The 16,309-nt window shown below is 35.4% G+C and overlaps 1 protein-coding gene across 7 annotated transcripts in view; it reads right to left on the minus strand.

Annotated features, from left to right (window-relative positions):
* The window catches only part of NOX4 (NADPH oxidase 4), a 265,205-nt gene that overhangs the window by 8,600 nt on the left and 240,296 nt on the right, over positions 1–16,309 (minus strand). For 5 of the 7 annotated variants that reach the window (NM_001143837.2, NM_001291926.2, NM_016931.5 and 2 more), the window contains 4 exon segments: positions 9,122–9,241; positions 7,111–7,219; positions 4,495–4,563; positions 2,893–2,993 (listed from right to left, as the gene is read on the minus strand). In NM_001143837.2, coding sequence (NP_001137309.2) covers positions 2,893–2,993; positions 4,495–4,563; positions 7,111–7,219; positions 9,122–9,241 — 399 coding nt within the window. 7 annotated transcript variants of the gene reach the window in all.

A 16,309-nucleotide genomic window follows, 5' to 3' on the forward strand; every position in this document is an offset into this window, starting at 1 on the left:
ACATGTGGAAAGTAAATTAATTCTGACTTTTAGTTTTTGTAGAGCAGTACCTAAATGTGTATACCTGTTGAGCCAGCAATTCCAACTCAAAGATCTTAATCTACTGCAATACTCTCACATGAGAAAGTATGTACAAAGATAATTACCACAGCACTATTTTTAACTGTAAAGAAATATAAGTTATCTAAATATAAAGAATTAGGGTAGTAGGAGTCATGTTATTCATACTCTAGAATACTTTGAGGTACAATTATACAGAAATTGTCCATGATCAAAAGAAGCACATCATTAAAAAGTTAGCTCGTTCTTCCTAGCAAAGCCAAGAAAAAAATAAAACAACAAAAACAACAAAGTAAGCTGAAGAATTACTTGTCATAGATTCAATTTTTGTTAAAAAACTAAGGTTTTGATTTTAAATATATATCACACACACACACATACAAACATATGTTTACATATACTTTCATAAGTACACATACACACTCTCACACAAACTTACAAAAGCTTCTGTAAGAATACATAACGAAGAGTTACCAGTCATTACCTCTGGGCCAGAAGGGTTTAATGCAATTTAAATTTGTATTCTACATAGTATACTAACCTAATGCCTACTGGTTTAATAAGTAATCACTTTCTGAAAGATAAAAACTGTTGCCCAACCCATGATATTTTAAAATCTTAACTTATATGCCTGTCTTCCCTACTGTTATCTCTATATGTTTTCAGCAATTTGTGTGCATGAGGTTAATCAAAATGCTACATTGTAAATGAAACCATCCATTTACACAGTGCCTTTGTCCAGTTAATGAGACCTGAAGAATGTTGATCCATTCTTTTCCTAAGTATGCTACATAAAAATCCTTCAGAAAATGTAAACACATTTCAGGCACCTGCCTGAGAACCAATACACAAAGTCAAAGTGTTGTACAAAATGTCAACAGCAGATGGTGCACATTTGCTCTTCTTAAACCAGTTTTCCATTGTTTCCAGAAAAAGAACAAACTACCAAATATATACACACACACACAAATCGCTCTAAAACACAAACAGCCTAACAAATGAGACTTCTTGAGAACTAACTGTAGGAACCAACAGCCTCAATCTATTTCCCTGTAAATAATCTGCTCTTTAGGGATTTGGTTTCTGAATTCAGCCAAAGAACTATCAGTTTTCAGCAATATACAGTGAAAATCAACAAAAAAATTCTTGTCAGAAGTCAGTAAATGGCACTAAAGAGGAACATGTCTGCAATGCATAGCAAGAGACAGATGAGTATGACAAGATTATCACATCTAAGATGGGTGATACTGGAGAAAGATGGGAAAGGAAGATAGCCAAAAGTGGGTTGAAATCATTTTTTTCTAAATTTCAACTCTGAATATTACAAAAAAGTTCTGCTTTGTAAATCATGCTTACATCTTCATCCCAAAACTACTTCATCAAGGGAAGGGTAATACTACAAAAGTGTTTTAAACATGACTGTAATCTGAATCACATGGGTAACGTTATTCCTTCATAAATTTTGCTTCCCAGCCTCCATTCTGTAACTTCTAAAACAAAATCTTTGAAGGTAGAGATAGGGATCATCTTGAATCAGTGATTTCTTCAATAAATAATATTCATCCATGATTTCCTAAATTGGATTTTTTAAAAAATATCCATTTAATAAGCTGGCCTGTACATTTATAATCAAATATCCTTTTGATGTTTATAAAAATATATTTTAAAAATTATGAAGTGTTCAACTATATAAAGTAATTGAAATGATAACTCAAGCCAGAAGTAAAAATTAACACTAGAGTCTTATGATTACAGGCAATTTTAAAATGAAATATTTAATTTATGTTCATTCTTTTTGCAGAAGTATGATTAGGATTAGGTTAGCAATAAAAATATGATTAGTTCAAATGTAAAAATAAATTGAATTTTAATAAAATTATATGGGTTAATGGGACAGAAATACAACTTAAATGAAAGAAAAAGAATGATGTAAAACATCCAACTGCTAAAAGAAGAGTTTATGTATTTTTGTAATAAATGACAGTATCATCTAGCTGTATTTATATTCCAGTGGATATGTTTAAAGAAATTATGTTAATTACAAAATGTCAATATCTGCAATATGTTAGAAATCACATCTTTTACAACTGTGTAAACTTATGATGAAACTATTTAGATGTAAACCTAAAAATACGTGAGTGGTTATATAGTTTTCAAAATCTTCTTAGAATTCTTATAGATCAGTGCTCTGCACTATGATAAATTTACAAAAGACAAATGGGCTGGCTGGTCTGTGCCCTGAAATGGAAGCTTTCCTTCTTAGTAATTTCTTCAGATCATAGACACGTAGTCCATAAGAACAAGATTCTTTATAAAATTATAGTTTCTAAATAATATTTTTGGAAATATTCTAGGTTTAAAGACTGCATATTACAATGCAGAGAGTTTTTTGAAAAACAAACAAAAAACATTCATTCTGGTAAAAAAAGGTACAAAAAATGTGATTTTTAAATGAATTCATTGTTAGAACTAATTGTAAAATTCTTTGTTTGGAAACATGATTTTGAAAACTTTTCCTAGGATCACCTGATATATGCTGTGGGAGCGAATACCCATTTTTAATATAGGCCTATACAAATTTATAATCAGATAGGAGAGTTTAGCTCATAAATACACTGTAGACTATTTCTAAGCCAAACTTTAATTATTTGGAATTACAAAAATGTAGGACGATACCTGCCTTACTTCTTCCTTTGATAGTGAAAGAGTGTTTCAGTGAATTTGTCATTGGTAAACTCATTGCCAATTCATTTTCAAACTTCATGTAATTATTTGAAAATATTTTAATTATTTTATTAGCCACATATCAAATTTTTGAGGTATAGTACTTACCCTCTGTTATATTTTGCTATTTCATCAAACAAAAGTTTCCACCGAGGACGTCCTATAAACAGTCTTGAATTCAGTGCATGATATTTTTCTCCAATTATCTTCTGCCAAAAAGAAAGCACTACATTATTCGATATTTAGTTAAGTAAACCAGTTCTCTAACATCATTTCTGCTGGTGCTGCGGCTTCCCACCAAATTGCTGTGATATAAAGAATGTAAGTATCAAATGGCAACCTATCACGTACAATTATTTCAAAATATCATTTCCTTTCTTCTTTCTTTTAAAATTCATTATCTCCTTGAATTCCATTTGTTTGTTTTTAAACAAACAAACAAAATCTATTCTGGTAAAAAGGTAGAAAAATTTGATTTTTAAATGAATCAATTGTTAGAACTAATCTCCTTGAATGCCATTCTGACAAATGGCTAATTTTCTTAGACTTCAGTTAGTTGTTTCATCTTTAAAGAACTGCAGTGTAAGACAAAGAATGAATTCTAATTGGTCAATCTCAAAAAGGCTCAGCACATAGACTTCAACATTGAAGTATTTTGGCACCACAAATACAGTTGTCATATTTGGCTCATTATATAAGTAAAATACTACAAATTGTCATCGTAAATTTGGGGAAATAATCCTAGACAAGACAGCTCAAGACAGCAAAACTCCAAAATTGGGTCTATCAACAAATGGCTGTGAACAGGCTCCTGTTTGCAATTAACAGAGCATTAGATCTAAATCAATGTGAAGAGTCAGAGTGAACTGCGGAGAAAGGAGGAAGTATCTGAGTCCCAGGCAGGCAAACTGAGAACCAGATGCAAATTATGCTTCATACCTTAATTATCGCAATACCAGGAGGAAAAGTGATATTGACTTACTTCGTGAGACTGGTAAAATGAAATACTATTTACATACCAAGTAGGGTAGAAATACGACTGGAAAACTTAGAGTTAGATTAGTTTTGAGGTAACTGAAAACATTCAAATGTTGTATTCCAAGTATTGTGAAAATGTATGACAAAAAGTACTAAAATAAAATTTGTGAATGCATTCATGCCTAGATTTATACACCAGTCCAGCTCTTCAATGTTGTCTTCAAATATTAGTTTCATCACTTGCAAAATGGGAATAACATTTACTGCTTGACTCTGTTTTAATTACATAAACTAATATATGTGAAATTATTAGCATAGTTCCTAGAACAGTAAATAAATAATGCATGATGGCTATCATTATTTTTTAGTTTTCTTTGTCTAGAAATAAGCTTAACTGTATACGAACTCATCTTCTCTCTCCACATAAAACATTCCCTCAATAAAAAGAAATCATAAGGCTGTTCATGTGTAGTCTGAATTTTAGAAGAACTTGAGGCGATAGTGAAGAGGGGAGGGGCAGACTCAAAAGCTCCCTGTGAGAAGGACAAATGGAAGGCATAATGTGGTTGACTTCAAGGACAAGCTATGACTTTCCTGGACATATTCCAAAGGAGGCTTTCCTCTAGGAAACTTCTGTTCGAACCACCTGCAGGAATTTTCTTCCACCACAGCTCCTACAGTAAATCTATTATCAAGAGGCTTGTTTAATTTACGATAACATCAACCACATACCTGTATCCCATCTGTTTGACTGAGGTACAGCTGGATGTTGACATAGTCAGGTCTGTTCTCTTGCCAAAACTGAGAGGACAGAAAAAGGAATAGACTTATTACAATTCTGTGGGTATACTCAGATTTTCTCCTATTCTAACATACTTGATTCTAGAATTTAACACAACCTAGCTTATCATAGTCAATATCTATAAGAAAATGAATACACACACACATACATACACAGAAATATATATAACAGATTCTAACGTTAATAATCTGGCCTCTTGGTATTAATTAGTTCTGATGGTGGTAGTGGTAGGGAATAATTTTCTGTTATCTTTATAGATACAAAATTTAGCATGCTGAATGCTGTACAAATATTAGTCCTTCTGAAATACTCCTTATTTTATTCCTTAAGAGTCTCAAAATTGTACCAGTTTACTCATCAAGAACATGATTTTCTTGAGAAAAAAAGACAATAGTGATTTAATTTATGCATGCTAGCAAATATAAAACAAAACAAATAGACACTTTTTCCTGTTCCTTCCTTCCGCTTATTCAATAATGGGCTCTGGTTTCTCTTGTACAAAAATGCACGAGGCAAAAATATACCTGCAAAAATAAATAGTCTAGAAAAAAATATGGAACAACAACCCCTCACTTCCCCCTCCCCGAAGGCTTTGGCAACCTGAGAGGATTTTACTGTATCTGAATTGTTTGAAATATTTTTAGCAAGGATGCATATGTAGAGACTATTCTACTTCCTGCCTCTGCAAATGAAACTACTCTAGGGACCTCCTATAAGTGACAGCATAATATATTTTTGCTTTCGTGTCTGGCATATTTATTTAGCATTATATCTTCAAAGTTCATCCATGTACTATGTGTCATAATTTCCTTCCTTTTTAAGGCTGAATAGTTATGCATTGTATGTGTATATCATAATTTGTTCATTCAACTATTGATGAATATTTGGGTTGTTTCCATCCTTTGGCTATTGTGAATAATGCTTCTATGGGCATTGGCATACAAATATCTGTCCAATTGCCTGCTTTTAATTCTTCTAGGTACATACCTAGAACCAATGTTTTCATTTATTTTTATTTACTTATTTTGCATAAAGTCTGGAGGACTTACGTAATCCACCTCTTCCCAGAAAAGCACAGACACTACCTCTCTAATTGCCTGTCCTACTATTCTTTCTCTTGCTTACTCTGCTTCATCCACACAGATCTCCTTTCTCTTCTTTCAGGACACCAAGCATACTGCTGCCTCAGAGCCCTTGCCTATGAAGTTAGGTTTCTCTACCTTGATTTTTTTTCTCCAAAATATGTGTCTAGTCTGCTCATTCACTTCAGTCAAGTCTGCTCAAATGGCATTATAGCATTTTGTTTGATGGTTGTTCTTGAACATGCAATATAAATTAACACACTCTCTACTGTTTACGCTGCTTTACTCCTACTTTCCCTTCCTTCTTTGTCCTAACCTGAATCTCAGAACCTGATGCTGGATGTATTTATTGGTTGTTGTCTATCTTGCCCCCTTAGAATGTAAACCACATGAGATCAGAAACTTGGTTTTATTTTGCCACCTGATGAGTTTTCAGATCCTAGAATAGTTTCAGATTGATAGTAAGCAGTTAATAAATATACACTGAATGATAGAATGACTGACTGAATGAGTGAATGCATGCACAAAGAGGTATATATAATGATATCCATTTCAGCATTCTTTGTAATAAAAAAGTATCTAACATTAGAGAATTGTTCAGTAAACTAGATAAATCTATACAATGAAATACTCTAAAAGAATCTGGTGGGTCTATCATCTCTAACTGTTGGCACAGGGAAAAACAGTGAAGTAGTTCTAGATGCACTAATACCAAAAAATAGTCAAGACACAGTAATCAATTAATAAAGGAATTTGCATAAACAATATAAATAGTATGATATAATTTATAGAACACTTAAGAGTTACCTCTGTTTACATAGATTAGGTAGGGAAGGTAGTAAGAGAGGATTTTACTTTATCAGAATTGTTTGAAATATTTGTAGCAAGGATACATATGTGTATCACTTGTATAGTGTGAATAAAGATAAATAGGTCAAATGTTACACGTAGGATAGGAAAAGATTCCTGCTTTATCTCTGCAAAAAATAAAACACAAAATTTGGGATTGTTGAGATTTGTATAGTATACCAAAAAGTCTGGTGATTTGCAGTATTAAAGATGGCAATCAAGGGTAAGTGCTATCAGAACAGAGGATGGAAGGTGTTACAGCAGGAGCCTTCTGGTATTTCCCTCCATTGTCTTCCCTCATCACCTTTAGCCATATGCATACATTTCTATGTGAAACACCCTATGTTAAAACATAGAAATGAATGTTTCCATGTTAAAATATATTAGATATATATGCATACTCACAAATATCCATATCTGAAAAGATGTGTGTCTAATTGCTAACAGATATTATCTCTGATTTTTTATGTTTAAGAGACTTATTTCTTTCCTTGCTACTTATCTGCATAATTTCTATGGTTTATTCTATGGCAAGCATTTATTGCTTTTGTAATATAAAAGCTATAACATTTTTAATTTGAAAAATTGCAAAACTAGAACCAACCCTAATGTTACCTTGTTATGCAACATACAGAGTAAATCTGCAAACCAACGGAAGGACTGGATATCTCTGCATACCCAAATAAAGTATAGTCTTCTAAGCTTGTATGGTTTCCAGTCATCCCTTTAAAATGAAAATAACATGATAGTGATTAGGATGGCAAACACAAATATTAAAGAATTCGTATATTTTTTAAAGTTTCCTTTTCATTAGTAAGCAACCAATAGAAATATCCAATAGAAACCAACAGAAAAATCAGTCATTTACATTCTAGCGTCTGATAGCACGAGACCTAAATGAATTTAATATGCAATATACTGACTCAAGGATACGACATACTTCATGAATTTAGGTGTTTAAGTGTTAAATGTTAAATGAATTTAAGTGTGAATAATATTCACAAGTATGCATATCATCCATTTCCAGTTGAAGGCCATAACTGAACTGGACCAGAATAATATTGGGCTCTGCATCTCAGAAAAAAAACAAGTTTTCAACTTTCAGTGAATTCTATCACAGACTGAGTAGGGCTCCAAAGGTCATTCAGTCTTGCCCTGGCTTTTTGGCAAAATGAGCCAAAACCATTCCAGAAACTTGGTTGTTTATCCCCTCTTAAAAATCATTAAAGAAAGAGATTTCACAATCATGTATGATGTAATGCATTCCAGCAACTCATAATTCCAAGTCTGGATCCCCATTTATAAAGTAGGCTTGAGGTTAAGAAAATTTTCTTCCTTTTTCATAACATTAGGTGTCCAAATAACTTGTAATGTGTTGTCAGAAACAAACTATTTCTGGCTTAGAGCATGATCATTTTTGTAAGAACCGCCAGAAAGTACCAAATTTACATCTAGTATTTAAAACTGAAATAAAATATCATTCAAACACATCACTTAAATTTATTATTGCTTTTTTGGTTCTGCAAAAAAAATAGTAAATGGAATAGATTTGAGAATAACTTTCTACTTTCATTTTGCTTTGTGTTTTCATAAGAATATCAATCAATTAACTTTTGCTTATAATCCTGAAACTAAAATAAGTTTTAGTTTAGTATTTCCTGGTCAGACAATTTCACCTTTTTTTTTTTTTTTTTTGGCAGAGTCTCGCTCTGTCACCGAGACTGGAGTGCAGTGGCGCCATCTCCCCTCACTGCAACCCCCACCTCCCAGGTTCAAGAGATTCTCATGCCTCAGCCTCTGGAGTAGCTGGGATTACAGGCATGCAAAACCACGCCTGGTTGATTTTTATATTGTTAGTAGAGACAGGGTTTCACCATGTTGGCCAGGCTGGTCTTGAACTCCTGGCCTCAAGCGATCCACCCACCTCGGCCTCCCACAGTGCTGGGATTACAGGTGTGAGCCAATGTGCCCGGCCACAATTTCACCTTTGAAGTTACTTTCTTTAGTCTGTTGTAAATTTGCTAAGTAATAAATGAAGGAATGATGTGTTCAGTTGTCATCTCAGAAAAGCCTGACCATACTTCAACAATAAACCCAGCCCTTTATTTCCATATCCATTAATGTCTACCTTTTGTCATAATTCTAATATTTTCTGAAATAATTTTATTTACATTTCTCATTGCTTTCTTTTTTACTTGCCCCATTTGAATGTAAGTTTTTTAAGGGCAGGGACTCTGTTTTCATTCATTGCTGTCTTCCCAATACCTGTAAGACCTATTGGCACATGGGTGTTCAAAAATATTTGTTGACTGAATGAATGAGTAGAACCACTTACCGCTGATGAGGACATAGAAAATGAAGGATGGAGGCGAATGACTTTTAACAGAGGAAAAGGACAGAGGAGTGCATAACTGTGATATGACATCTTTCTACAAGAGAATATGCTAGCAGCCACAGACCACATGTTGAGAATCACTGAATTATTCCCCTCACCAATCAGGAAATGGAGGTCCTTGATCAACAAGTAGAATAATTCAATAAGGAATTATTTTATACTAAAAAGAGAGATATCAGAAATATTGGCAGTTCTCTATTTGGATTAACAAAATAGATCAAAATGACATACAACAGGGTGTTGAGTATTGATGCAAATGGAGTTACTCCAATGCCTCCAGCCACGCAGAGGCTGACCTCATAGTTCAGTGATTCCTCAAATGGACTTCCAAAAGGACCATCAATATACAGCCTGTAGAGCAGTCAGAAAAAGGTGGGAAAAAAATGAAAATAAGTGAAATTAATTTTCTGTACCATATAGCAAACATGCTGAATGCAATCTCTAGATTTTGTGATGGGTCAGGCCTTATTTCATGGTTTCTCATAGTGATTAGCCTAAAGGAGTAGCAAATGTTGCTTATGAAGTGTCAAGATTAAAATAAATACGTCTGTTTCTAAGTGTGTCTTTTTTGAGGAAACCATTAATTAAAAGTATAGGGTAATGTAAATATGATCATGCCAGGTAGCTAAGGACAAGTTAAAGCTCTGATCATATTAGACTATATGTCTAATATAGTCATATATTAGACTATATATGACTAAATTAAAGTAACAATTGCTTTACTGTGTCTAAATTCAATAAACATTTTTTCAATGGCTAGATCAGTACTGGAAATACTTATTTAAACATTTACTATGTGAACAGAAAAATAGCAGGAGTAAGGAAAAGAATCTAACACTGTCCCTCCTCTTGCCCTGGTTGTTCATAAGTATAAAACTTTACTTACAAACTGATAGTTCTTTAGCTGTAAAGGACAATCACAAAGGAAGCTCTGCAGCTCTAATTACTCTGCTCATGTTTATATATTCAAGTGTGTGTGTGTGAGACAGAGAGAGAGAGAGAGCATAGAGAAATCCTTCTTAACTGCAATAGAAATGCTAATTGTTCATATAATATTCATCCTCCCATTCTTTCTTAGTAACAGACAATTAATTTTATTCAGGGAAGCAAAAAGTCCAGCCAAAATACTACATTTCTCAGACTCCCTGCATCTGTTTTGGCTGTGTGACTATATTTTGGCCACTGCCCCCTCCTTCCTACTTGTCTGCTTTCTGAGCTACACACCCACACACACACCCTCCCCACTCCCCACAAAGCTACTCTTTGGTGTTTTGAAATAACTTTGGACAGGACGACTAGAACTCAGCGTTCTAGTCATTTACTAAGGCTGGGATTCCAGACAAATAACTTTTCCTCTCTAAACTGGATTTCTTTCATCTATAAAAGGGTCAATAAGTTGGGATGCTACAGAAAAAAAGTGTGCTAAGAATTGTAGAGGGCCACACAAATATCAGAAATACATTTTATTAACGGTATCAATGAGTGCCTACAGTATACTGACAGGCCTTCTGGGAGGCCCAGTATTGATGCAAGAAATGGGCTAAGTCCAGTATGAGCTGGGAAATGTAGGTGGGAATTTGATTTCAAGGCCCTTAGAGAATCAGTTGTTTTTCATTTGATTTTTTTTTTTTTGTACCAGGAGAGAGAAAATTTTGCTTTTCTTGGAAAAAATAAGAAGATAAAATTACTAGTATTTGATTACTTCATGACATCTACTTTTTTGAGGGAGATGGAAACGGAAACTACTTAAACCACTTTTTTTACATATTTAATCTGATTAATATGTGTGAAATACACTGCGTTTCACTTATGAGCAGTGACTTTCTCCCTATCATAGTACATGTTCTTTAAAAGAATGTTATGTTGCTATTATCATAATATATGTAACCAGATTGTAGAAATTAAAGGCAACTCTTTAAAGTCTTGCTATAACATAGTAGAGATGAAATCAACTTCATATATTTTTAAATTTCTGTTGATAACTAATGAAAAGATCCTTTATGAAGGATTGTGTATCTAAGATAATTCTAAGAATAAGAGATATCTTCCTCCCTGACCCACTCAAAAGTATATAAACATTTTTTGACATTTAAGTTTTTCCTTTGAAAGTAGAATTTATTTACATTTAAAAAAACTGATTTAAATCTTTTATTAAGGTTAATGAGTTTCAAGCTACATTTCTGTTTTATGTGGCTGAATGTGAATATACTTGTTAAAGCTTTTAACATGGTGCCTGAACATAGTAAGAACCTGATAAATATTAGATATTTAAGAATAATATAATAAATATTATATTATTATTAAAAGTAAAGGTTTGTAATTTACAACATTTAATGTTCATATAAGTGTAAATTTTTGAAAAATATTTGCCTTTTAAAATCTTCTCTGATCATCTGTCACTTTAAACAGTTCTTTTAATTAATAAAAAATTTCAAGGGTCTGGTGCAGTGGCTCACACCTGTAATCCCAGCACTTAGGGAGGCTGAGGCAGGAGGATGGCTTAGGGCCAGAATTTTGGGCCCAGCCTGAGCAACAAAATGAGACCCTTGTCTTAAGTATTAGCTGGGCACGGTGGCACATGCTTGTAATCCCAGGTACTAGGGAGGCTGAGGCAGGAGGATGGCTTGAGTCCAGGAGGTTGAGACTGCAGTGAGCTATGATCACACCACTGCACTCCTGCCTGGGTGACAGAGTAAAACTCAGTGTCCAAAAATTTTTTCTTTTTCAAGACATGCCTGAGACTCTTACCTCAGAAACCTAAAATAAGCTATATTAACAATGGATACTCTTCACCGAACATTTAATCCAAGGTTGGTACTGAATGTTCTATGTATACCTTCACTGTTAATCCACACAACAACTTTCATAGGAAAGTATAATGCCCATTTTGTTGCATTGGGAACTAAAACTCAGAAAGGTTAAATAATTTTCTTAAGGTCACACTTATATTAAGGGGGGATGACTTTTACTAAATTCATTCTGAGTCTAACTCCAAAGCTTAGTTTGTTAATAATCAGATAATAATCTTTACAATTACCAGTTATTTTGGTGAGGGGTATTATATAAAGGTAAAAACAAAAAAAGCTTCCAGGACAATTATCATCTAACAATTCTCTCTTCATGTAGGAAAAAAGTGAGTGTGATAAACTATTCCTCAGGAGAGGATGGTATGGCAGTTTTAGACCATTCTAGTCTCAGGAGATAATCATATCAATAGAAACAATAAACAAAAGGAATGAGTTTAAAAAGCCCATGATGGTTCTCCCTTGATAGCTTTCAAATTTTACTGTGTATCAGAATTTCCTGTAGGGCTTCTTAAAACACAGAATGCTAGGCCCTACCCCAAGACTTGCTGACTCAGAAGTCTGAGCATTTGTAGTTTTCACCATTCCCCCAGGAGCTACTGATGTTGCTGATAGAGCAGGTAAGGAGGATCAGGAGTGAGCTGGTACAGGTGGTGATTTTACAGAGGGTCCCCAACTTAGGATGGTTCAATTTAAATGTTTTTGACTTTATGATGGAGTGAAAGCAATATGTATTCAATAGAGACTGTACTTAAAATTTTGATTTTTGACCTTTTCCTGTACCAGTAGTATTTGGTACAATATTCTCTCATGATGCTGGGCAGCTGCCACAGCTTCCAGCCAGACACATGACCATGAGCTTAAACAACCAATACTGTACTCTACAGTGTACAGCAGCATTCAATACAGGTAGGTAATTTTTTCAATCCCTGCACCTTTCCCTCCCACATCTTGTATTCCCCAGTGTCTATTGTTTCCATCTTCATGTCTACGTGTACCCAATGTTTAGTTTTCTGTTTTTGCATGTAAACATAAATAAAAACAAATAACCTATTTTCATCTCAATAGATGCAGAAAAAGTTTTTGATAAAATCCAACATCCCTTTATGGTAAAAACCCTCAATAAACTACACATATAAGGAACATACCTCAAAATAATAAGAGCCATCTATGACAAACCCACAACCAACATGATCCTGAATTGGCAAAAGGTGGATGTGTTTCCTTTGAGAACCAGAACAAGACAAGGATGCCCACTCTCACCACTCTTATTCAACATAGCACTGGAAGTCCTAGCCAGAGCAATCAAGTAGGAGAAAGAAAGGAAAGGCATCCAAATAAGAAACAAAGTCATACTATCTCTCTTTGCTGATGATTTGCTTCTATACCTAGAAAAACCCACTCTGCCAAGAGAACTGATAAATGACTTCAGTAGTTTCAGTATACAAAGTCAATGCACAAAAATCAGCAGCATTTCCATGTACCAGTAATGTTCAAGCTGAGAGCGAAATCAAGAACTCAAGCCCACTTACAATAATTTGTAATTATTATCTAATGCAATCTCATGTTAAAAGGAACATGGTTTGAAAAAAAACCAATTTGATGTTTATCTCTTGGAATTCTGAATGATTCAGTCAAGGCCTTACAAATTAATTAATTTAAAGTCTGTAAGGATAAAAGTTCTTTGGCAAGGAGTCCCCATAAAATAATCATGCTAACAAAATTATGCTCCAATAACCATTATGAATGGATACATTTAATATAAGATTTTTAAGAAAGGAAGGACTTTAGGCTACTTTGTCGACTGACAATTTCTGCCTAAAAATAAAAAAAAAAACCCCAAATAAACAACAAAAATCCCTCAAACATAAAAACTAAAGAGTCTGAAAAGATGTATGGCAGCTGAATGCAGGATGGGGTAACAAAGAAAGAAAGATGGAGAATTACCTGTGCTTAATCTATCTCCAGAAAGTGGCTACATCCCCAACTTGTTCTGAAATTTTAGCCACCTAACCTCCAGCTATAGACTCGGCTTGGCCCTATCCTTCAACCAATTCTTATCTGAGTCGGGAATGAGTTGTGCTCTCAGTCAGCACTAAGGCTTGTTTATTGCTTGCTCATTAGTCTTGCGCTAACACAGCTTCTTGACTTAGATCTCTGAGCCAAAATCTTTACAATTTAAGCAGTGCCTCAGTTTTACAGTCCTGATGACAGGGTTTAGCCTTGTGAATCCCAGCCCAGGGGTTGGGATCCACTACCTGCTGATAGACCAGCGTCCTTCAGACATCCTACTTGCGTAGTTTTGCAAACATCAGTAGCATTAGGCATTCTTATAACTACATTCCACACTCTAGTCAGAATACTACCTTTTAGATCTCTTGCCATCCAGGTATTCGAATTTCACATACTATATAAAAGAAAGCCTAAATTTAAGGATTAGAAGATGAAAGACAGTAATTCTTTAATGAAAGACATTATGTATACTGTGGAAAATCTTATGAATTACTGTGCTTGTAGAAACTGTACCGGAATAACCACTACCACAAATATGCAGACACACAAGGGAAAGGGCTCCTTCCTGACTAATCTAAGCAGAGCATATCACCCAGAGCCACCTCTACCAGACAGGACAATGTATCTCTTCTGACAGGATTTAGAATGGATTGAAGATATAAAAGCAGCCCACATGGCAGAGCCTTTCCCCCTGCCCTGAGGCAAGCAATTGCTTTGAGAAATGGCAGAACAGAGCTGACAACGAGAATGGTGATGAGAATTCACTTTTGCAAGAGGCCAGGTGCTTTTTATAATTTTATTTAAATATCACAAAGACTTACAAGAAAGAATTGTGTCATGCATTGGGCATTCCTCAAAGCAACATTAGAAGGAAGGTATCTCCATTATCATCATTTGTAATACAGAACAAAAAGTCAACATAAAGATGCTCAGATTGCCACTCTCCCTCAATCATGAGGACTTAAACCAGAATGTGACTCAAGGGAAAAAGCTTGAAGCCACCCAAAGCTCTTTCCTTCTCCCTCTCTCTCCTCCTCTCCTTCTTGCATAATAGTCATCACATTCTGTTAATTATGCCTCCGAACACCCTTAGACATCTATCTGATCTTCCATATTACTATTACCACAGTACAAACCATTATCATTTCTTGCCTGAATATGAAATTGCCAAGTAGCTAGTGTGCTGGCCCCATGCGGTAGCTCATGTACCTCTCTAGTTTCATGAGAAATCTATAAAAATGTAAGTCTAATTATCTTTCTCCTTGGCTTAAAATCCTTTCATGGGTCTTCATTGTCTTTACAACAAAGTCCAAGGTCATTTAAGTGGCAGTCCAGGCCAGATGCAGTGGCTCATATCTGTAATCCCAATATTTTGGGAGGCTGAGGTGGGATGATTGCTCGAGGCTAGGAGTTCAAGAGCAGCCTGTGCAACAAAGACCAGGCCTGTGATAACAAAGTGATAAGACCTATGTCTCTGGTCAGGTGTGGTGGCTCATGCCTGTAATCCCCACTTTGGGAGGTCAAGGCAGGCGGATCACCAGAATCAGGAGTTCAAGACTAGCCTGGCCAATATGGTGAAACCTTGTCTCTACTAAAAACGCAAAAATTAGCTGGGCATGGTAGCACATGCCTGTAAGCCCAGCTACTTGGGAGGCTGAGGCACGAAAACTTCTTGAATCTGGGAGGCAGAAGCTGCAGTGAGCAGAGATTGTACCATTGCACTCCAACCTGGGTAACAGAGTAAGACTCCATCTCAAAAAAACAAAAAAAAACCTATGTCTCTAAAAAAAAAACTATATATATATATATATGCCAGGCCTGGTGGCACACACCTGTGGTCCCAGCTACACTGGAGGCCAAGGCAGGAGGTTCACTTAAGCCCAAGATGTTGAGGCTGCAGTGGGCTGTGCTGGCACCACTGCACTACAGCGTGGGTGACAGAGTGAGACCTTGCCTCAGAAGACAAAGGGTATTCTAGGCCCTGTCCACATTTCTCCTTATACCTCGACTCCAAGTGTATGTGTGCTTGCACATGCATGCACACACGTGCTCCACACATACACAGTTTTCAGCCACCTGGGAGTAATCCCTCAATGACCCACCACTTCTAAGTTAAGTATAATTTGAGGGGCCAAACAAATCTGGATTGGAGACCCAGCTCTGCCATGTGACTTTGGGTAGGGCATTTACCTCTTTGAATCTCAGTCCTCTTATCTGTAAAATTAGGGAAACAGTACTACCTAACTTATAGAGGAATAGTAAGAATTAAATTAATAATGCATATAAAGCACAATTCCTGGATGTGTAGTGCTCATTATGTGTTACTATTATAAACAAAAATAACTTGGGCCAGGTACAGTGGCTCACACCTGTAATCCCAGCATTTTGGGAGACCAAGACGGGTAGATCACCAGGTCAGGAGTTTGAGACCAGCCTGGTCACTATGGTGAAACTTTGTCTCTATTAAAAATACAAAAATTAGCCCGGCATGGTGGCGAGCACCTGTAAACCCTTCTACTCAGGAGGCTGAGGCAGAAGAATTGCTTGAACCCGGGAGGCAGAGCTTGCAGTGAGCCGAAATTGCACCACTGCACGCCAGCCT

The sequence above is a fragment of the Homo sapiens genome, chromosome 11, assembly GCF_000001405.40.
Source record: "Homo sapiens chromosome 11, GRCh38.p14 Primary Assembly".
Taxonomy (NCBI): Eukaryota; Metazoa; Chordata; class Mammalia; order Primates; family Hominidae; genus Homo; species Homo sapiens.